We start from the raw sequence: 20,468 nt of genomic DNA on the forward strand, positions 1-20,468 counted from the left end.
CTCCAGAGCATAGAAAGAGCCAAATGGTCCCTGTGTCTCTGGGGTCTAATGCCCAGTCTGATGAAATCTGAATGGTAGACTACAGTGAAAGCTCTAGGAAGTGAAATATCCCTTTATCGATGCCTTTGGAGTCCACTCTTGGATGAAATCAACACAAGCAGCATTCTCTATTGTACTATTTATTTTGGGAAAAGAAGGTAGTAGTGAAATTAGAATTTCTGGGCCTCAAGGAAAATTTTAATACCCACATATTAAAATTGTTTTGTAATTTTTCAGAGTCCTTTTATCTAAGGCAGAAAGAAAACAAATGATGGTTTAGTTTTACCTTGGCAACTTGTTCAAAGAGATAGGGCCTTGTTTGTATTCGCTGCTTCATTTCCTCCAGTTCTTTCTTATATTCTTTCGCTCTTTTACGGTCATTGTTCCTGGAATTAGCAAGACTTTTAGAAAGAATTTCATCTTTTCTAATCCAGAATACCCTTCATTTCCAGTAAAGCAGTGTAACTCTCGTGTACACTGTAAATTCCTATCTGACTTGGAAAATCATGACCCTGCTGTGATTACAGGAGCCTACCTACCTCGATAACTCTATTTTGCATTTTCTGGCAATAGGCCAGTGGTCTGTTGGATCCCAAGGCAAGCACCCCTTTTGACACATAGAGGACACTGACCGGTTCTCTTTCAGCTTTGCTTTGAACACTTCCTCCAGGCTTTTATGGGGATCCATGGCTTTTGCACGCAAGGTCACAGATTTGGACATTGCTTGAGACTTCTTTTTGTGTATCTCCAGCCACTGAATACTCTCATCTGCTTTGTTCTTTTTTTCAAGTGCACTTCTAAAGGAAGGAGGCAGAAAAAGAGTATAGATTACCAACCTGGGTATACTGAAAAGCAATCTTAGGCCAGGTGTGGTGGCTCACACTTGTAGTCCTAGCACTTTGGGAGGCCAAGGCAGGTGGATCACCTGAGGTCAGGAGTCCAAGACCAGCCTGGCCAATACGGTGAAACCCCAGCTCTACTAAAAATACAAAAATTAGCTGGGCATGGTGGTGTGCACCTGTAATCCCAACTACTCGGGAGGCTGAGGCAAGAGAATCGCTTGAACCCGGGAGGCAGAGGTTGCAATAAGCCAAGATCGCACTGCTGCACTCCAGCCTGGGCGACAGATCAAATTCCGTCTCAAAAATAATAATAATAATAAAATAAAATAAAATAGCCGGGCATGGTGGCTCATGCCTGTAATCCCAGCACTTTGGGAGGCCGAGGCGGGCGGATCACAAGGTCAGGAGATCGAGACTATCCTGGCTAACACTGTGAAACCCCATCTCTACTAAAAATACAAAAAATTAGCCGGGTGCGGTGGTGGGCGCCTGTAGTCCCAGCTACTCGGGAGGCTGAGGCAGGAGAATGGCATGAACCTGGGAGGCGGAGCTTGCAGTGAGCCGAGATCGTGCCACTGCACTCCAGCCTGGGCGACAGTGAGAGACTCCGTCTCAAAAAATAATAATAAATAAATAAATAAAATAAAGCAATCTTAGTAACCTTTTCTGGAAAGTAAGTTGGTGTTTTTAATGAATGGGGCATGTAATTTACCTCAACTGCCATTTTTAAAAATAATAAAATTCTAGGATTAAATGCACTGGCAGATGAAGCCTTTCCAGCACTAGGGACACAGTGAGTTCCTACCCTAGAAGTGCATTTACTGAACTGGAGAAACGTCAGTTAAAATATCCTTACTTAGGTCGGGCACGGTGGCTCATGGCTGTAATCTCAGCACTTTGGGAGGCTGAGGCGGGCTGATCACAAGGTCAGGAGTTCGAGACCAGCCTGGTCAACATGGTGAAACCCTGTCTCTACCAAAACTACAAAAAAAATTAGCTGGGTGTAGTGGCACGTGCCGGTAATCCCAGCTACTTGGGAGGCTGAGGCAGGAGAATCACTAAACCCGGGAGGCAGAGGTTGCAGTGAGCTGAGATTGCGCCATTGCACTCCAGCATGGGCGACAGAGCAAGACTCTGTCTCGAAAAAAAATATATATATCCTTACTTAAACAGTCCAACATTCAATAGGTCTTCGCCTATCTGGATACAAAATAATACTAATAGCTACCATTTACTGAGCTCCTTATTATGAACCAAGTACCATTACATTTCACATTGTCCTCATAACTGCCTTATGAGGTAAATACTAAATTCCCTTTTTATAGGGGAGGTGATTGAGGCTCAAAGGAGGTAAGCCCCTTGCTCAAAGCTACCCAGCATGCCAGTGGAAAAGCCCCTATTGGACCAGGACCTCTGACTCCGAAGCCTCTGGCCTTGACCACTCTGCTGGAAACAGTGGGCTGGAAGGTGTCTGGGTTCATGGTCCTTTGGGAATACAAATCTGCACATTCAGAGAGAACTGGAAATGAGCCTCCCTCAGTGCAGACTATTTGGGTTCAACTTGTAGCACTTAGTTTGTTCAGTTATCTACAAAGTAATATGTTGAGTTCTTCCAAAAGGAAAATCAACCAAGACTCTTATATTTGGATGTTTATATTCAAATGGACATACTGGGAAGAAGGACATGAAAATTTAATCTGTTAATATGTCAGATTCCCTGTGGCTGGAAAGCAGATGTGGATGTCCTCTATAGGAAGGCCAGCCTCTTTGTTCAGGAGGCCTGTGTTCTTGGGCCCTCAGGATACTGAGCAATTAATTAGCCCTGATTTAGTAGGTCTAACTGAAGTCTGAAGAAGAAAGGAGTATCCCTTGGACCGTAAATACTCTTCTACAATCCCTGCTGTGGGGCTTAACGATCCAAGTAGGTTCTGAGTACTCCCCTACATGCCCCATGGGAAGGCAGTAAGACATTAGTCCTCTCCCTGGCCTAAGCTGCTGTTACACCATGACCTCTCTTGCCTACTTCAGCTCAGAAGCCTGGTGGAAGAACCCTTGCTGGGGGCTGGCTTAATGAGAACATCATAACAGAATCAGGTCAGTTGAAGAGTTAAAAATAAGCAGGCTCTTGCTGCCCAACAGACTCTGACATCTTCCCAAGATGAATCTCAGAGAATCTCAAATCTATGCAATGGATGTCTCATATTTGCGGCAACTTCAGCCACCTGCTAGCATGCTTCTCTGAATTCTTGTTCCTCACTACTCCCTTCCTCTCACCCATGGGCTTTTATCCATGTTCTCTCTGTCTGGAACCTTCCTTCTCTCCAGGCTTTGTCTGGCGAACTCTTCCTTGTTCTTCAGTTTCACTTTAGACATCTATTCCACAAGACAAGACCCCCCTGCTCCAGGCTGCCCAGTGCCCTCACAGTCCCCTTTACCCCCCATCATTGCACTACTCAAAAAATATGGCCATTGCTTCTTTGCTTTTCTGTATTTCAGACTAGATAATAAACTGGAGGTTCCCTAAGATCTCCAGCCTTAACACTGTGCCTGGCACAGAATAAGCCCACTATGAATATGTGCTGAATGATGGCTAGCTGTTCTCCAAGCACCAGGTGTGGAGAACCGCAATTGTTCCAGTCCTGATCAGAAAATTCCCTTTGACCCCTTGAGGTATCTCTGATAACAGGAAAGGAGGCCCCTTGGCAGGGAGGTTTCCAGCATTTGGGGCCAGAATCAGAGCATGGGTCTCGTGCAGCCTGACCACTCACCTGACTGCAGATTCCCTCTTCCTGGTGGCATCTGTGATGTGCACAGGGAGAGTGTTGGCAGAGAGGGAAGCAAGGCCGCTCAGAGAACGACTCCTTGGCAGGGGTGTAGCTGGTGGCTGTGGGGAATCCTAGAAGAAACAAAGGTTGGTATTGGTGGGACAGCATGTGTGATTAGTTTCTATCTTTTTTTTTTTTTTTTTTTTTTGAGACAGAGTCTCGTCTCGCTCTTTTGCCCAGGCTGGAGTGCAGTGGCGCAATCTCGGCTCACTGCAACCTCCAGCTGCCTGGTTCAAGCAATTCTCCTGCCTCAGCCTCCCACGTAGCTGGGACTATACAGGTTGTGAGCCACCATGCCCAGCTACATTTTTGCAGTTTTAGTACAGACGGGGTTTCACCATGTTGGTCAGGCTGGTCTCGAATTCCTGATCTCAGGTGATCCACCCGTGTCGGCCTCCCAAAGTGCTGGGATTACAGGTGTGAACTACCGCGCCCAGCCATTTTCTATCTTTACTAGGATTCAGCTTCACTGAAGGACTGAAAATGAGAATCTTCATTTTTTTTCCTGGGAATAAGGCAAGGATAAAGAGATCTCAAGTTTCACAACCAAGCCAAGACTTGGATATCAATCCTAAAGTTTTTAGTCAAATGAGAAGAGTTCCTTGGAATTGGTATAGAGACATCAACAACTGATCCCAACTCCTTGCCTCTCAAGCCTGCTTGGACTTATTTCTGTGAAATCCTTCTACAGTAAGGGAGGAAAAGAAGTGTCCCTATGGTTTCTGTTGTGTTCTGTTTTTGAGATGAACTTTCACTCTTGTTGTCCAGGCTGGCCTGCGGTGGCACAATCTCAGCTCACTGCAATCTCCGCCTCCCAGGTTCAAGCAATTCTCCTACCTCAGCCTCTGAAGTAGCTGGGATTACAGGTGCCCGCCACCGCACCCAGCTAATTTTTGTATTTTTAGTAGAGATGGGGTTTTGCCATGTTGGCCGTGCTGGTCTCGAACTCCTGACCTCAGATGATCTGCCCTCCTCGGCCTCTCAAAGTGCTGGGATTAAAGGCGTGAGCCACCACGCCTGGCCTGTTTTTTGTTGTTGTTTTTAGATGGGGTCTCACTCTGTTGCCTAGGCTGGAGTACAGTGGCATCATCTTGGCTCACTGCAGCCAGAAGGTCCTCCCACCTCAGCCTCCTGAATGGCTGGAACTACAGGTACACACCACCACATGTGGCAAATATTTGTATTTTTCTTTTAGAGATGGGGTCTCTGTTGCCCAGGCTGGGCTGTGGTCTGGAGTTTATAGGAAAGTGAATCTGCTTACAACTGAGCTGGTGTTTAAAAAAAAGATAGGAAAACCTTGTTGAGAAGTGCTTTCCAGGAAGACCTGGCCCCACCCTGTATTTCAGGCCGCAGCCCTGACCCTCCCACAGCTGCCTGGGCTCTCACCTGCCTCCTTCCGGTGGTGGCAGCATCACAGGGCCGCTGAGGGTGGCGCAGGTTGGCGGTCCTCAGCAAGAAGGGCTTGTTGCGAGTGGCCTCTTGGGTTTCTCTTCTTTTGGCTGCTCTTCTCTGGAAGGCCTTGTAAAGGCCCTCATAGTCAGGGACCACAGGATTCACCCGAGGCTGGAATCTGAAGTTAGTGTGCAGAAACCCAAGCTTTTCCTGCTGGGTTCGGGTGGCTGTGCGGGGCTGTGGGTTAGCCCGGTTACTAGAGGAGGCGATAGGGGAAGAGGCCATCTGGAGCATGTCCAGGGCTCTCATTTGGATGCGAATTTTCCTGAAGAGCTCAGCTTCTGTGGAGAAAGGATGGTGATGGGTAAGAAAGGACCAAGCAAGAAACCTACAGGGTTGGAGAACTTTCCCTCTTTTACACACTAGCTGTAAGTGTTACTGGAGGCAAGTAGGAACTTTTCAGGAATTCTGACACGTTAACATCCTGTGAGATGCCTGCAGATGGCCTGAATAGGAGTAATTATGCCACAGAAAATAACAAACATTACAAACCAGCTTCCTTTTTTTTTTTTCTGGAGAGCTTGTTAATAAATGTCATCCAGAACACCACTGCCTGTGTCAATCAGGCTGCAGAAGCAGTGACCATCTACACTTACTGAGCACTTTCTATGATTGCTTCTTCAGAGATGAAGCAGAGGAAGTGGGCCAGTAACCTGCTCCTCTCCCAGGTTTCCCCATCTGAGAGAAAGGCCCTACCATCCACCCAGCTGCCCAGGCCCTTTGCCCACATCACTGACTCCTCCGTGTCTCTCATCAGTCACAAGTTCTGTCATTTCCTCCTCTTTAACCTCTCTCCAGTCCATCCTCGTTTTTTCATCCCTGCAACCAGTTGCACAATTTCTCTACTGAATTGTGAAATAGCTTCCTCTTGGCTCAACATCCCTCCAGTCTTGCTGCCCTCTCAGATTATCTATACAGCAATCAGAAGGATCCTTCTGAACTATATTTCTGATCATGGGCCACCCTGCCTCACTCCCTCAGTGGCTTCCCTGTGCCCTTGGGATGAAGTCCAGACTCGCCAACGTGGCTTGCAAAGCTCCTCATGTCTGGCCCATGCCTGCCTCTTCCTTCCCACTCCCTCTTCTCTCAGCCCTCGACCTTTCCATCCCTTGCAGATGCTCTGCTTTCTCTCCCCTCCATGCCACATTCTGCCTGCTCCACTTCTCCTCCCTCTTCGCCCCTCCTTCAGTTCAGCCCCAGGGCCCACTTTCTCAGGGGACCTTCCCTAACTGCTCCCTTGCTTCACCAATCCCCGGGTTAGGTCCCTTTGATATATGCTCCCATGCTTCCCCTTTTAATCCTTGTAAATAACTCGCCACATTTGTATGTATTTGTCTTTATCTGTTTTCCTCACATATCTACAAACTCCATGTCTGTGTGTTCACCATGGCACAGTGCCTGGAGCATGGCACATGCTACCGAAAAGTGAATAAAGCCTGAGCCCCTTATTTGGAGCTATACTTTTGGAAATGTGTAAATAATCATCCCCCAGGTAATTTCGGCGATTGACACTACCTCACCAGGACGAAGGAGCCATGGGGGAGCATCTCAGGGCAGTGTGCTGGTGGTGGCATGAGCCCAAGCTGGTCCTCAGGTGTCTCACTGGTTCTCTATTCCTGCACCTGTGCTGGTGCAGAGGCCCTCATGTGCATTCACTTAGATGTCAACAGGACGAGCCTTGGGGACACTGTGGGACCTCTCACTCCTGGCACCATACAGGTCCTGATTGTATAGACAGACCTAACCCTCCCCAATGGCCTGCACTAAGCGTGCAGCCTCTAGTGGGTCCACCCAAGCAGCAAATCTCCAAGCCAGGCAGATCCCTGGGCCCTGACTAAATCCCTATGGTGGGATTGGTTCCCCGAGGCAGGAGGCAGCAAGGTGGCAAGGATGTCTTTACCCTGGAGTTTATCCCCAAGGGCTGGCTCCAGAATGGACTTGGGAATCCTTCTGGTGGCCTTCTGCTTGGAGATCTTGGCTTCAGCTGTGGCTGCCAAGTCTCTCTGTCGAGCAGCTTCCTTTAGCTGCTCCTCCTTCTCCAGGAAGCTGAAGGGCTTCAAAGAAGAGAGGAGCAGTTCCTTCCTCTTCTGGATCCCTGCCTGCCTTCGGGCCTCGCTGCGCTCCATGATCTCTTGGTAGAGGGGCAGGTAGACATGTGCAGGCACAGGCTGTGCCCGGAACTGCCTGTGGCACTCGGCCTCTTCCTCACCCTGCCTCTGGGCCCGCTGCCTCTCCTGCTCAAAGGAGGCAGGTGAGCCCAGCCACTCGGCCTTCTTCCGGGCCTCGCGCAGCGTCATGCGGAATGGCCGAGGGACAGTAATGGATGATGCCCAGGAGCTGACGCTTCTGTGCTGGGAGGGAGGCCGGGAGCCTGAGGGTGGCTGGGTCTGAGGCCTGGGAATGTTGGAGGGAAGGTTGTTCAGGGAGCTGCAGCGCCTTGTGGAGCCACACCTGGGAAAAAAGCAGATCTGTGAGTGGAGGACAGGGCAGTCAGGAGGCCCTGCTCCCTCCAGACCTCCTCCCCAGTCCTCCCTTCCCACTGGTCACAGCTGGCTGCTCAGCCTAACACCACAGCCCCACAGGCCTCTATGTCCATGACCTTCCCACAGACAATCCTGGCAGCCCTAATGGAAAGTCTCTTCTCAGAATTGATCCAAGAACTGCCACTTTGCACTCTAATATTTCATATGAGAGAGAGAACAATGAGCAGAGTAGAGCTTTAGAGTCAGACAGACCTGGGTTTAAATCTTGCTTCAAACTTTGAGCAAAGTTCTGTTAAAACCTCAATTTCCTCCTATGTAGAGTGGCAAAAATTAATGTCTACTTACCAGGTTATTGGAGGAGAAAGTAAATATTAAATAAGATAAAGTAATGAGATAATGTACACTTTATCTCATTCAATATTTACTTTCTAAGGCTTGACCAAGATAAAGGTACTTTGTTGTCATTCTCAGGGAAAGTGTATTTAGGAAATGCTTCCCTGTATTTTTTTTTATTTTTTATTATTTATTTACTTATTTTTTGAGATGGAGTCTTGTACTGTTGCCCAAGCTGGGCGTGATCTTGGCTCACTGCAACCTCCACCTCCCAGATTCAAGCAATTCTCTGCCTCTCCTTCCGAGTAGCTGGGATTACAGGCACCTGCCACCATGCCCGGCTAATTTTTTTATATTTTTAGTAGAGACGGGGTTTCACCATCTTGGCCAGGCTGGTCTTGAACTCCTGACCTCATGATCCAGCCACCTCGGCTTCCCAAAGTGCTGGAATTAGAGGCGTAAACACGGTGCCCGGCCCATTTTTAAATTTTATTTTATTTTTATTTGTTGAGACAGAGTCTTGCTCTGTTGCTCAGGCTGGAGTGCAGTGGCGTGATCTCAGCTCACTGCAACCACCACCTCCTGGGCTCAAGGGATTCTCATGCGTCAGCCTCCTGAGTAGCTGGGATTACGGGCACACGCCACCATGACTGGCTAATTTTTGTATTTTTAGTAGAGATGGGGTTTCACCATGTTGGCCAGGCTGGTCTCGAATTCCTGACCTCAAGTGATCCGCCTGCCTCAGCCTCCCAAAGTGCTGGAATTACAGGTGTGAGCCCCTGCACCTGAGGAAAGGCTGCCCTTTAATTAATTCCAGTGCATCACTGGACTAAGTGTTGCCCAAAGTAATTCAGGATTCCTGGGGAGGAATCAGAACACCTGTTTGGAACCAAAAGCTGATTCTCAGCTAGAGCCTCAGTAAATGGCAACTTGCAGAAGTGCTCTTTGCTTTACAGAGGAAGATGAAGCCCAGAGACACGATGTGACCTGTGTGGAGGTGTGGAGTGAGGCAGCCGTGGAGCTGCAGTGCCTTACCTCAGAGCCTGCGGGCACTGGACCTGCACCATCCCCCTGTCCTTGTCTTGGAAGAAACTCTCCAGGTCCTCCTCATCTTCAGAGAGGTTTTCATCACTCTCTGGGTCAGACTGAAAGAGAGACTCCAACAGACACCATCTCCCTTTCTGCTTCAGTTCCTGTAAGTTCTGGTAAATGCTCCCAGTTGAGTCAGAAGTAGAATCTATCTCCTCCTCTGGGCTGAGGAACTCGTCAAGTTTGCTGGCCCTGGGCAAAACCAGCCCATCCCCGGACAGCTCCTCTCCTGCCTCTGTGTCTGCGAAGGACTCGGGGGGAAATATCTAAAATAGAATAGAAATAGGCTGTGGGTCAAACAATAATTTCAAAGGTATTCAAATCATAACTTAATTTCGCTTTGAATAAGCTTCTGTATATTAGGGACTGGGGAGAATTTGGGGTCTGCCAGATGCACTGGCTCACACCTGTAATCCCAACACTTTGGGAGGAATTTTTAAAAATAAGGTGTGTTTCTTGGTCTAAAGAAATTTCACAACTTGGTCTATGAAGTGCGCTTGGTTGAAGGGATGGAGAGGGAAGTGAAGAGCTGAAGTTGGTTCCCTATGCCATACAGTGCAGTAAGCTTTTACAGAGTACCTCACCTACACCAGGCTTTCTGACCCCTGCACTCCAGGAATCCTGCCCATGATGATGGCCACACTCTCCCTTACTTGGGTTTTAACCTACTTCTTGCTCATCTTCCTTCTCTCCCTTCCCTTATTTCTACTCCTCTGCTTTCCTCATGTTCTAGCTAATTTGCACTCTGTCAAGGAATGGATGATGGCTGGGTGCAGTGGCTCATGCCTGTAATCCCAGCATTTTGGGAGGCCGAGGGAGGTGGATCACCTGAGGTCAGGAGTTCAAGACCAGCTTGACCAACATGGTGAAATCCCGTCTCTACAAAAATACAAAAATTAGTTGGGCGTGGTGGCGGGTGCCTGTAATCTCAGCTACTGGGGAGGCTGAGGCAGGAGAATCGCTTGAACCCGGGAGGCGGAGGTGGCAGTGAGATGAGATTGCGCCACTGCACTCCAGCCTGGGCAACAAGAGTGATGCTCCGTCTCAAAAAAAAAAAAAAAAAAAGGAATGGATGATTAACAAGACAGACAGTATGGTCTGGCTGGAAGAGCAATGTCTTAAGAAGTGGGACACACAATTAACTTTTTCAGTACTCCATTCATTCATAAAATATTTACTGGGTGCCTGATGTGCACTGGGCATTTGGCTGAGAACAAGACAAACAAGGTCCTTACTCTCATGAAGCTTACACTGTAGTAAGAGGAGACAGACAATATAAGATGATGATAAATTCTGTGAAAACCATAAACAACTGTGAGGTTATAAAAAGATGGAGTGCCTATGGAAAGCTTTTTGGTTGATAAAGTCCATCAGATTAAGGTTATTAGGAATGTACTTGTAATCAGTACATCAGTTAGGCTTATTAACTTGCTGCAGGACACTACGGAAAACCACAGGGAACTTAGGGTTGAGGGTGTGATTTTTATAGGGTTGGCTTCCCTGATTGATTCAGGGAACCAGGTATCAACTCTGGAATGGTGCTGTCATGAAGTGGGGACAATTTAGTTAAGCGAATGACTGAGCAATTTTTTTTTTTTGAGACAGGTTCTTGCTCTGTCACCCAGGTTCTGGAGTGCAGTGGTGCAATCATGCCTCACTGCAGCCTGAACCTCCTGAGCTCAGGTGATGATCCTCCCACCTCAGCCTCCCGAGTAGCTGGGACTACAGCACACACCATCACACCTGGCTAGTTTTTGTATTTTTTGTACAGATGGGGTTTCACCATGCTTCCCAGGCTGGTCTCCAACTCCTGAGCTCAAATGATCCGCCTGCCTTGGCCTCCCAAAGTGCTGGGATTACAGGCGTGAGCCATTGGGCCCCGCCCAACGGCAATACTTATTCAAAAGGTGAGAAGAATAAAGTAGGGTGGGTAAGTAATTGATCAGTAAGCCTTTTGGAAGAAGGGGTGTTAGTAATTTTGCACCTATGTTATGGCCCTGAGAGAAACACTGTTTCCTGATGCTCTTGCCGTTGGCATTATCTATGCCTATGACAGTCTGAGTTATACTTTCTCAGTCCTGGGCTGATTTTTATTTTTCATTGTGGAGGAATTTTGAATTGACACTTGATTGATGAGGAGCCAGGCTTACTAAAATCCAGGGTAAGAGTCAGAGATATGTATGCACCCTAGCCCTGGCTCTGCTACAGTGTGTGATCTTGGGCACGTTTTTTCTTTTCTTTTAAAGACAACTTTATTAAGACATAATTTCTATACAATATATTCACTCATTTAAAGTGTACAATTCAGTGGTTTTAGTATATACACAGAGTTGTGCAACTACCATCACAATTTTAGAACACCTTCATCGCCCTTAAAAGAAATGCCACACGCTTTAGTGGTCACTCCCTATTTCCCCTAACCCTCCACACCCCACCCCACCAGCCCTAAGCAACTGCCAATCTACTTTTTGCCTTTAATAGTTTGGGGTCCACCAGGTGCACTGGCTCACGCCTGTAATCCCAGCACTTTGGGAGGCCTTGGCTGGTGGATCACTGGAGGCACGCGCCACCACACCTGGCTAATTTTTTTTTTTTTTTGAGACGGAGTCTCGCTCTGTCGCCAGGCTAGAGTGCAGTGGTGCAATCTTGGCTCACTGCAACCTCCACCTCCCGGGTTCAAGTGATTCTCCTGCCTCAGCCTCCCGAGTAGCTAGGACTACAGGCGCGCACCACCATGCCCAGATAATTTTTTGTATTTTTTTGTTTGTTTGTTTTTGTTTTTGAGAGAGTTTTGCTCTTGTTGCCCAGGCTGGAGTGCAATGGCACAATCTCGGCTCACTGCAACCTCCACCTCCCAGGTTCAAGCAATTCTCTTGCCTCAGCCTCCCGAGTAGCTGGGATTACAGGCATGTGCCACCACGTCCAGCTAATTTTGTATTTTTTTTAGTAGAGACAGGGTTTCTCCATGTTGGTCAGGCTGGTCTTGAACTCCTGACCTCAGGTCCCAAAGTGCTGCATTACAGGAGTAAGCCACCGCACCCGGCCAATTTTTGTATTTTTAGTAGAGACGGGGTTTTGCCATGGAAACCAGCCTGGTCTCGATCTCTTGACCTCATGATCCGCTTTCCTTGGCCTCCCAAAGTGCTGGGATTACAGGCGTGAGCCAGCGCGCCTGGCCAATTTTTTTTTTTTTTTTAAATTTTTAGACGGAGTTTCACCATGTTGGCCAGGCTGGTCTCGAACTCCTGACCTCAGGTGATCCACCCGCCTCGGCCTCCCAAAGTGCTAGGATTACAGGCGTGAACCACCACGCCCGGCCAAATTTGGGGAGCAATTTTCTTAATCTCTTTGTGCCTCAGTTTTCTCTTCTACAAAAATGAGACGACAATTGTACTACTGGTCATAGAGTACTAAGAGGATAAGCGAAAACTGAGTGACATTGCCTATCAAGAGCCTCGTATAAAGTCCGAGAGGTTCAGGTCTGTAAGTCAGAGTCCGCCTCCTGGTCCCTAAACGCTCATTTTAATCCCACGCCCCTCCGTGACACGCCCCTGCTGTCTGTCTCCAAGGCAACGCCCAACAGTTTCCTCTCCGGGATTCCTTTCCCGGGGGCAGTCTCTTTTCTCTCCTCACCTGACGGCTCCCCTCCGCGCCTCCGGGGGCTCCCTCAGGCCTCCCCACGGTCATTTCAGCTGGACAGAGGCAGCAGCGACAGTGACAGCGATAGTGGCAGCAGCGGTGGCAGCGAGAGCTATGCGGGGCCAGGGTCCACCCCTTTCTAGCTTTGGCGTCTGGTTGGCTTCCAGGGCAGCCTCCGATCCATCCCGCCCGAGGAGGCAAGGTTCGTTTTCCGATTGGCCTATTTTCTCCGCGCATTTTATTTCCGGTTCTGAGGACGCCGCGGAAGCGGGACGGGATTGGAGTGCTCTGCTCCGGACGCACTACGTAGGTGGGCCTGCGGGAGTTCTGAGTGCGACGGCGCAGGTCTGCACCATGGCGGCCCGGCTTGTCAGCCGATGCGGGGCTGTGCGTGCAGCTCCCCACAGCGGCCCGCTGGTGTCCTGGCGCAGGTGGTCCGGCGCCTCAACAGACACCGTGTATGACGTGGTGGTGTCGGGTGGAGGCCTGGTGGGCGCTGCCATGGCCTGTGCCTTGGGTAAGCCCTTCTCCAGGCTACTAGTGGCCGGAAACCGGGCCGCGGAGGCACGATGAGAGCCGTGAGAGCCCTAGCACGACTTGCCCAAAGACAATTTCTCAGGTCTCGCGACGCTTCTCCCCTCCCCTCCTAGAGGAACCCCAGGGCACGCCGGAATGCGTGTGGTCCTTCAGGGTCCATTAGGGTCAAAAGTGGGAGGGGCGTTCAGAGTCTGTTCTACTCATGGGAAAACAGGCCTTCCCGGGGTTATTTATAAATGAGAGTTCCAGTTTCTCCAGATCCTGGACAGTACTTGTCATTGTCTTTTTGTTTATAGACATTCTAGTGGGTGTAAGTAAAGTGGGATCTCCAGGTTTTGACTTGTATTTCCCTAATGATTAATGATGTTGAATATCCTTTCATATGTTTATTGGTCATTTGTATATCTTCTTTAGAGAAATGCCTATTCAGACCCTTTGCCCGGTTTTTAATTGAGCAGTTTGTCTCTTGAATACTGTGGTAAGAGTTATTTTTATTTTTTGAGACAGGGTCTTCCGCTGTGCCCAGGCTGCAGTGCAGTGGCACGATCACGGCTCACTGTAGCCTCAACCTCCCTGGCTGAATTGATCCTCCTGCCTCTGCCTCCCAAATAGCTGGGACTGCAGGAATGCGCCACCACTCGGCTGATTTTTGTATTTTTTTGTAGAGACGAGGTCTCACTATGTTGCCCAGGCTGGTCTGGAACTTCTGGGCTCAAGCAATCCACCTGCCTCAGCCTCCCAAAGTGCTGGGATTACCGGCATAAGCAACCCTGCCTGGCCATTATTTTGTTTATTCTGTATAAGTCCCTTATCTGATAAATGACTTGCAAATATTTTCTTCCATTTTGTAGTCTTTTCACTTTTTTTTTTTTCCCTGAGATGGAGTTTCGCTCTTGTTGCCCAGGATGGAGTACAATGGCACGATCTCAGCTCACTGCAACCTCTGGGATTACAGGCTTGTGCCACCATGCCTGGCTAATTTTTGTATTTTTAGTAGAGACGGGGTTTCACCATATTGGCCAGGCTGGTCTCGAACTCCTGATCTCGTGATCCACCTGCCCCTTCCTCCCAAAGTGCTGGGATTACAGGCATGAATCACCATGCTTGGCCCATTATGAGATTTTTTTTTTGTGATTTTTTTTTTTTTTTTAGCTCATCAGCTATCATTAATATTAGTGTTTTTTTATATGTGACCCAAGACAATTCTTCCACTGTGGCCTGGGGAAGCCAAAAGATTGGACACCCTGATCTAAGGGCAGCTGTTCCACCCTATGATCCTCATCTCACAAGATACACAAAATTTAACTTAAAGCAGATCATAGACTTCTGTAACAGGGTGGTTCTCATGGCTGCTTGGGAGGCTGAGGCAGGAGAATCGCTTGAAACTGGAAGGGGGAGGTTGCAGTGAGCTGAGATCGCGCCACTGCACTCCAGCCTGGGCAACAAGAGCGAAACTCGATATCTCAAAAAAAAAAAAAAAAAAAAAAGAAGATAGTGCCCTTTACAGAGCATGCTCTACAGAGCATGTCCCTGTGCCCCATCCTCCACAGCAAAAGCTGCCAAGATGGACCGCTCACTGTCTGTATGGCTGGAGCTAACTTTTTTTTTTTTTTTTTTTTTTTTTGAGACAGAGTCTCTGCTCTGTCACCCAGGCTGGAGTGCAGTGGCAGGATCCCAGCTCACTGCAACCTCTGCCTCCCAGGTTCCAGTGATTCTCCTGCCTCAGCCTTCTGAGGAGCTGGGACCACAGGCGCCCGCCATCACACCTGGCTAATTTTTGTGTTTTTAGTAGAGATGGGGTTTCACCATGTTGCCCACGCTGGTCTTGAACTCCTGAGCTCAACTGATCCATCACCTCAGTCTCCCAAAGTGCTGGGATTATAGGTGTGACCCACTGTGCCTGACCTTTCTTTCTTTTCTTTTCTTTTTTGTAGTTTTTGAGACAGGGTTTTGCTCTGTCCCCCAGGTAGGACTGCAGTTGCACAAACATAGCTCAGGTGTGCCACCATGCCTGGCTAGTTAAAAAAAATTTTTTTTTGTAGAGACAGGGTCTCGCCATGTTGCCCAGGCTGGTCTTGAATTCCTAGGCTTGAGCAATCCTCCCACCTCGGCCTCCCAAAATGCTGAGATTACAGGCGTTAGCCACCATGCCTGGCTCACGTTTTCTTTTATAAACTCTAATTCTTTCTTTTTGAGACAGAATTTTGCTCTTGTTGCCCTGGCTGGAGTGCAGTGGTGCAATCTCCTCCTCCCAGGATCAAGCGATTCTCCTGCCTCAGCCTCCCAAGTAGCTGGGATTACAGGTGCCCGCCATCACACCTGGCTAATTTTTTTGTATTTTTAGTAGAGACGGGTTTCACCATGTTGGCTAGGCTGGTCTTGAACTCCTGACCTCAGGTGATCTGTCCACCTCGGCCTTCAAAGTGCTGGGATTACAGGTGTGAGCCACCGCACCGGCCTTTATAAACTCTAATTCTTTATTCTTGGTTTAATCTTGAGACTGCATTGAATTTTGCTTGTTTATTCCACTTTTTCTTTTGAACAGGAGTTGTAATTTTTAGTGACTTAATACTCTGGAGATTGAAAAGAACTGGTGTTTAAATACTGTAGTCTAACTTTTTTACTTCATTTTTCCTTTCTAGGGCATTCTGTTTGCTAGTTAGGTGTTTGCCATTATTTGCTTCTTGGCACGTGGCATGTAGTGGTCTTTGGAGAAGTCTTACAGTTGTGGGCAGGGTGGTTCTCATAGCTAAAATGGTGGTATATGTTATTGCTTAGGACTCTGCATGGGTATAGTGTTTATGTTCTCTGTAAGAAATTCATATTCTAAGGGTTAAGTGGTTACTCTGTTGTTTCTCTTGGTAATGGGAAAGGAAATTCTTGATTTTCCTAAGATGATATAAATTTTCTTTTTTTAAGGATATGATATTCACTTTCATGACAAGAAAATCCTGTTGCTCGAAGCAGGTCCAAAGAAAGTACTGGAGAAATTGTCAGAAACTTACAGCAACAGGGTCAGCTCCATTTCCCCTGGCTCTGCAACGCTTCTCAGTAGTGAGTAGAAGATCCTCCTTCAAAGATCCAATCTCCTTTCCCACTTAGCTTTCTAGTGTATCCCATGGGGCAGAGTCATCAGAGCATCTGACAAGGAGGGAGCTCACTGAGGTGGGTGGAGAGAGGGGGTGGGATTGGTAGTCTAGGGCAGAGTTGAAGATGTGGACCCCTGCAGTTGCTACTGCCTCAACTCCCTGTCTGAGGAATGCATCCTTGAGGCATGTGGGTCCATCATGTTGACTTCACTTGTGATGTTGTGTCATTATGAATTGGTGGAACTGAAATCATATGAACTAATCATGAACATTCACTTTGAATAGCAGGGCTCTCTTCATCCTGAGTCAAGCCTTCTAGCAAGCTAGGGAGCTTACACGTGAAATTCCCTTGGGGTGCAGATGAATAATGTGTGCACATGGAACCAGTTAGCAAATTGTCATTAGGTCTGCTAGATGTTTCCCTCAGACCATCCTGTCTGAAACCACCCCATCTCAAATTGAACTCTTCCATCACTTTCTAGCCCCTTTCCCTGCTCTATTTTTCTTCATAATGCTTACTACTACCTGGCATTATATTATGTGTTTGTTTTTTATTGTCCATCTCTCCAATTAGAATGTTAACTGCAGAAGGCCAAGGACTTTGTCCATTGGTTTCCCACTTTACTGTATTTGGCACATAGTCGGTGCTCAGTAAATATTTCCTCAATGAATAAATCTGTTCAGTGCTATGAAGAGCTAAAAAATAGAACATAGGCCAGGCACAGTCATGTGTACCTATAGTCCTGGCCACTTGGAAGGCTGAGATGGGAGGATTGCTTGAGCCCAGGAGTTTAAGTCTAGCCTGGGCAACATACCAAGACCTTGTATCTTGAAAAAGAAAAAACAAATGGTTTCAAGTTACTAGAAATCCTTTGTAAAAATAATTTTTTAAAAATTGTCTTTACGAGGTTTATAACTTCAGCAGGATGATGAAGAAAAAGAACAATATGGATTTGGGGCCGGGTGCGGTGGCTCACGCCTGTAATCTCAGCACTTTGGGAGGCTGAGGCAGGCGGATCACAGGGTCAGGCGATCGAGATCATCCTGGCTAACACGGTGAAACCCTGTCTCTACTAAAAATACAAAAAAATGAGCCGGGCATGGCGGCGGATGCCTGTAGTCCCAGCTGCTGGGGAGGCTGAGACAGGAGAATAGGGTGAACCCGGGAGGCGGAGCTTGCAGTGAGCCGAGATCCCGCCACTGCACTCCAGCCTGGGCTACAGAGCGAGATTCCGTCTCAAAAAAAAAAAAAAAAAAATACATGGATTTGGTTTTCGTTTTTAATTTCCCCTACTTTATGTGATTTGACCTTTTGATCATGGAAGCTGAGTCTTTTTTTTTTTTATTTTATTTTTTTTTTTTTTTGAGACGGAGTCTCGCTCTGTTGCCCAGGCTGGAGTGCAGTGGCACGATCTCGGCTCACTGCAAGCTCCGCCTCCCGGGTTCAGGCCATTCTCCTGCCTCAGCCTCTCCAAGTAGCTGGGACTACAGGCGCCCGCCACCACGCCCAGCTGATTTTTTGTATTTTTTAGTGAAGATGAGGTTTCACGGTGTTAGCCAGGATGGTCTCTATCTCCTGATCTCGTGATCCGCCCGCCTCAGTCTCCCAAAGTGCTGGGATTACAGGCATGAGCCACCGCGCCCGGCAGAAGCTGGGTCTTTTTTCATGCTATACAACCTGGAACTGGGGAACAGAGTAGCTTAGGTACTAACATCAAACAAGATAGAAGTGGAGAGTATTATTGAAGAACACTGAAAACAACCTCTTACGTAACAGGATGGAGGGACAAGGGGGAGCCCAGGTCCTTGTGAAGTCACTCTGGTCTATAGATCCTTTCTTTTGTAGGTTTTGGTGCCTGGGACCATATCTGCAACATGAGATACAGAGCCTTTCGGCGAATGCAGGTGCCCCTTTATCTTTTCAATTTTGTCAAGATGTCTTGGTCTGTCTTAAGATATCGGAGTCCACTTTCTCCAAGTGTTCTGTGAATGTAGGAGGAATCAGACAAGGTTCACATTCAGTCCGAGGAAGTGGGGAGAAGCATTCCCAGGAGAATTTTCTTCTCATTTTATATTTTCCTACCAGAGAGGCTGACAAATTGTGATTTTCTGCTCTGTCACTTGGGAAAGCAATATTGTTTCTGATTGGAGTGATGTTTCCCTCTTGGTTTTAATGCAGACTTTCCTTTTGTGTTTCCAGGTGTGGGACGCCTGCTCAGAGGCCCTGATAATGTTTGATAAGGATAATTTAGATGACATGGGCTATATCGTGGAGAATGATGTCATCATGCATGCTCTCACTAAGCAGTTGGAGGCTGTGTCTGGTGAGGCCCCCATCTTCCACCTTGCATTCATTGGGAAGTGAACTGCTTAGGACTTACTGGAAGAAAGGATCTCTTTTACAATATTCAGTGTCCACCATAAAGAAATCCTCTGATGGCCGGGTGCGGTGGCTCACGCCTGTAATCCCAGCACTTTTGGAGGCTAAGGCGGGCGGATCACGAGGTCAGGAGATGGAGACCATCCTGGCTAACATGGTGAAACCCTGTCTCTACTAAAAATACAAAGAAACAATTAGCCAGGCATGGTGGCGGGCGCCTATAGACCCAGCTACTTGGGAGGCTGAGGCAGGAGAATGGCGTGAACCCAGGAGGTGGAGCTTGCAGTGAGCCGAGATCACGCCACTGCACTCCAGCCTGGGCGACAGAGCAAGACTCCGTCTCAAAAAAAAAAAAAAAATTCCTCTGATGATTATTTCACGGTGCTGGATACTTAGAAGTGGAATTGCTGGGTCATATAATAATTCTATGTTTAATATTTTCAGAAGCTGCCAAACTTTTCTGAAGAGGCTATACAATTTCACTTTCCCACCAGTCTATAAGGGTTCCAGTTTCTCCACATCCTCACCAACGCTTATTTTCCTTCTGTAAAAAAAAACTGTAGCCATCCTGTTGAGAGTGAAGTTGTATCTCATTGTAGTAGTGGTTGCATTTCCTTAATAACTAATGATGCTGAGTATCTTTTCATGTCCTTACTGGCCATTTGTGTATCCACTTTGGAGAAATGTCTGTTCAAAATATTTTGCCTGTTTTTAAATTGGATTATTTGTTTTTGAGTTATAGGAGTTCTTTATATATTTTAAATATAAATTTATCAGTTATGCGGCTTGCAAATATCTTAATGTTCTAGAGAGAGAAAAATTGGAAGTAACTTAAATGCTTTTTGATATTGGATAGTAGTTCATGCAGTGAACCATGATGTAGCTTTTAAAGATAATTTGAATCTAAAATTTAATAACTTATAAATTTGTTCCATAATATATTGGGTCATATGATCACACTTGTGTGTGCATGTACATGCATAGGAAATTGTCTGGAAAGTCATACACCAAAGCTGTAATTGCAGTTGTCTCTGAGTAGTTTAAGGGTGATTTTTCTCCACTTGAACCTTTCTTTGTTGTCCAGACTTCTACAGCGAGCTTATTATTATTATTATTATTTTTTTTTTTTTGGAGATGGAGTCTCGCTCTGTCGCCCAGGCTGGAGTGCAGTGGCACAGTCTCGGCTCACTGCAAGCTCGGCCTCCCAGGTTCACACCATTCTCCTGCCTCAGCCTCTGGAGTAGCTGGGACTATAGGCGCCTGCCACCGTGCCCAGCTAATTATTTGTATTTTTAGTAGAGATGGGGTTTCACCGTGGTCTCAATCTCCTGACCTCGTGATCCACCCACCTCGGCCTCCCAAAGTGCTGGGATTACAGGCGTAAGCCACTGTGCTGGCCCTCTATTATTTAAATCGCTTTGTTGACAGTATGACTGACTGACATACAAAAAGCTGTAAATGATGTATACAGGCTGATGTTTTTGGAGATAGTGTTTTGTTTTGTTTTGAGACAAGGTCTTGCTTTGTCCTCCTTGGCTGGGGTGCAGTGGCTTAACAATCCTCTCACCTCAGCCTCCTGACTAACTGGGACGACAGGTGCGCACCATCACGCCTGGTTAATTTTTTGTAAAGATGGGGTTTTACCATGTTGCTCAGGCTGGTCTTGAACTCCTGGGCTCAAGTGATCCTCCTGCCTCAGCCTCCCTAAGTTCTAGGATTACGAGCATGAGCCACCCGTGCCTGGCCATAGAGCGTATTGT

At 47.4% G+C, this 20,468-nt stretch overlaps 3 protein-coding genes across 20 annotated transcripts in view, besides 3 other annotated features; 1 reads left to right on the top strand and 2 right to left on the bottom strand.

Annotated features, from left to right (window-relative positions):
• Window positions 1-12,818, bottom strand: part of FAM161B (FAM161 centrosomal protein B) — a 27,396-nt gene extending 14,578 nt beyond the window's left edge. For all 3 annotated transcript variants that reach the window (XR_007063990.1, XM_011536475.3, NM_152445.3), the window contains exons 1-7: window positions 12,697-12,818; window positions 9,010-9,329; window positions 7,059-7,609; window positions 5,093-5,439; window positions 3,650-3,777; window positions 672-836; window positions 326-425 (exon numbers count right to left, since the gene is read on the bottom strand). Coding sequence is in view for 2 of the 3 variants with exons in the window: in XM_011536475.3 (XP_011534777.2) it covers window positions 326-425; window positions 672-836; window positions 3,650-3,777; window positions 5,093-5,439; window positions 7,059-7,609; window positions 9,010-9,329; window positions 12,697-12,750 (1,665 nt within the window). In the remaining variant the exon portion in view is untranslated. The remainder of the gene's footprint in view (window positions 1-325; window positions 426-671; window positions 837-3,649; window positions 3,778-5,092; window positions 5,440-7,058; window positions 7,610-9,009; window positions 9,330-12,696) is intronic.
• COQ6 (coenzyme Q6, monooxygenase) overlaps window positions 12,642-20,468 on the top strand; it is a 13,753-nt gene continuing 5,926 nt past the window's right edge. For 6 of the 15 annotated variants that reach the window (XR_943465.4, XR_943466.4, NM_182476.3 and 3 more), the window contains exons 1-4: window positions 13,026-13,219; window positions 16,159-16,293; window positions 18,175-18,233; window positions 18,529-18,652. Coding sequence is in view for 13 of the 15 variants with exons in the window: in NM_182476.3 (NP_872282.1) it covers window positions 13,057-13,219; window positions 16,159-16,293; window positions 18,175-18,233; window positions 18,529-18,652 (481 nt within the window). In the remaining 2 variants the exon portion in view is untranslated. Of the gene's footprint in view, window positions 12,905-13,025; window positions 13,322-16,158; window positions 16,294-18,174; window positions 18,234-18,528; window positions 18,653-20,468 lie in introns of those variants that run through there. The other 9 variants (NM_001425259.1, NM_001425261.1, NM_001425257.1 and 6 more) reach the window with 7 other exon arrangements.
• Window positions 12,708-13,708: an enhancer, noted in NCBI's record as "H3K27ac-H3K4me1 hESC enhancer chr14:74416687-74417687 (GRCh37/hg19 assembly coordinates)". NCBI's record gives its function as "activates a minimal SCP1, AML or CMV promoter by ChIP-STARR-seq in naive and primed H9 embryonic stem cells {active_cell/tissue: H9 hESC(naive and primed)}" and the evidence as "EXISTENCE:reporter gene assay evidence [ECO:0000049][PMID:30033119]".
• Window positions 12,725-12,784: an enhancer, noted in NCBI's record as "active region_8723". NCBI's record gives its function as "activates an Ori minimal core promoter by ATAC-STARR-seq in GM12878 lymphoblastoid cells {active_cell/tissue: GM12878}" and the evidence as "EXISTENCE:reporter gene assay evidence [ECO:0000049][PMID:35858748]".
• Window positions 14,778-15,076: a silencer, noted in NCBI's record as "fragment chr14:74418757-74419055 (GRCh37/hg19 assembly coordinates)". NCBI's record gives its function as "represses an EF-1alpha promoter that drives an FKBP-Casp9 reporter gene in an ReSE screen in phorbol 12-myristate 13-acetate-treated (for megakaryocytic differentiation) K562 erythroleukemia cells {active_cell/tissue: K562(+PMA)}" and the evidence as "EXISTENCE:reporter gene assay evidence [ECO:0000049][PMID:32094911]".
• Window positions 18,053-20,468, bottom strand: part of ENTPD5 (ectonucleoside triphosphate diphosphohydrolase 5 (inactive)) — a 63,960-nt gene continuing 61,544 nt past the window's right edge. The window contains exon 16 of one of the 2 annotated variants that reach the window (NM_001382258.1): window positions 18,053-18,311. In NM_001382258.1, coding sequence (NP_001369187.1) covers window positions 18,279-18,311 — 33 coding nt within the window. In that variant the 3' untranslated portion in view covers window positions 18,053-18,278. Of the gene's footprint in view, window positions 18,553-20,468 lie in introns of both variants that reach the window. The other variant, NM_001382262.1, reaches the window with a different exon arrangement.

The sequence above is a fragment of the Homo sapiens genome, chromosome 14, assembly GCF_000001405.40.
Source record: "Homo sapiens chromosome 14, GRCh38.p14 Primary Assembly".
Classification (NCBI taxonomy): domain Eukaryota; kingdom Metazoa; phylum Chordata; class Mammalia; order Primates; family Hominidae; genus Homo; species Homo sapiens.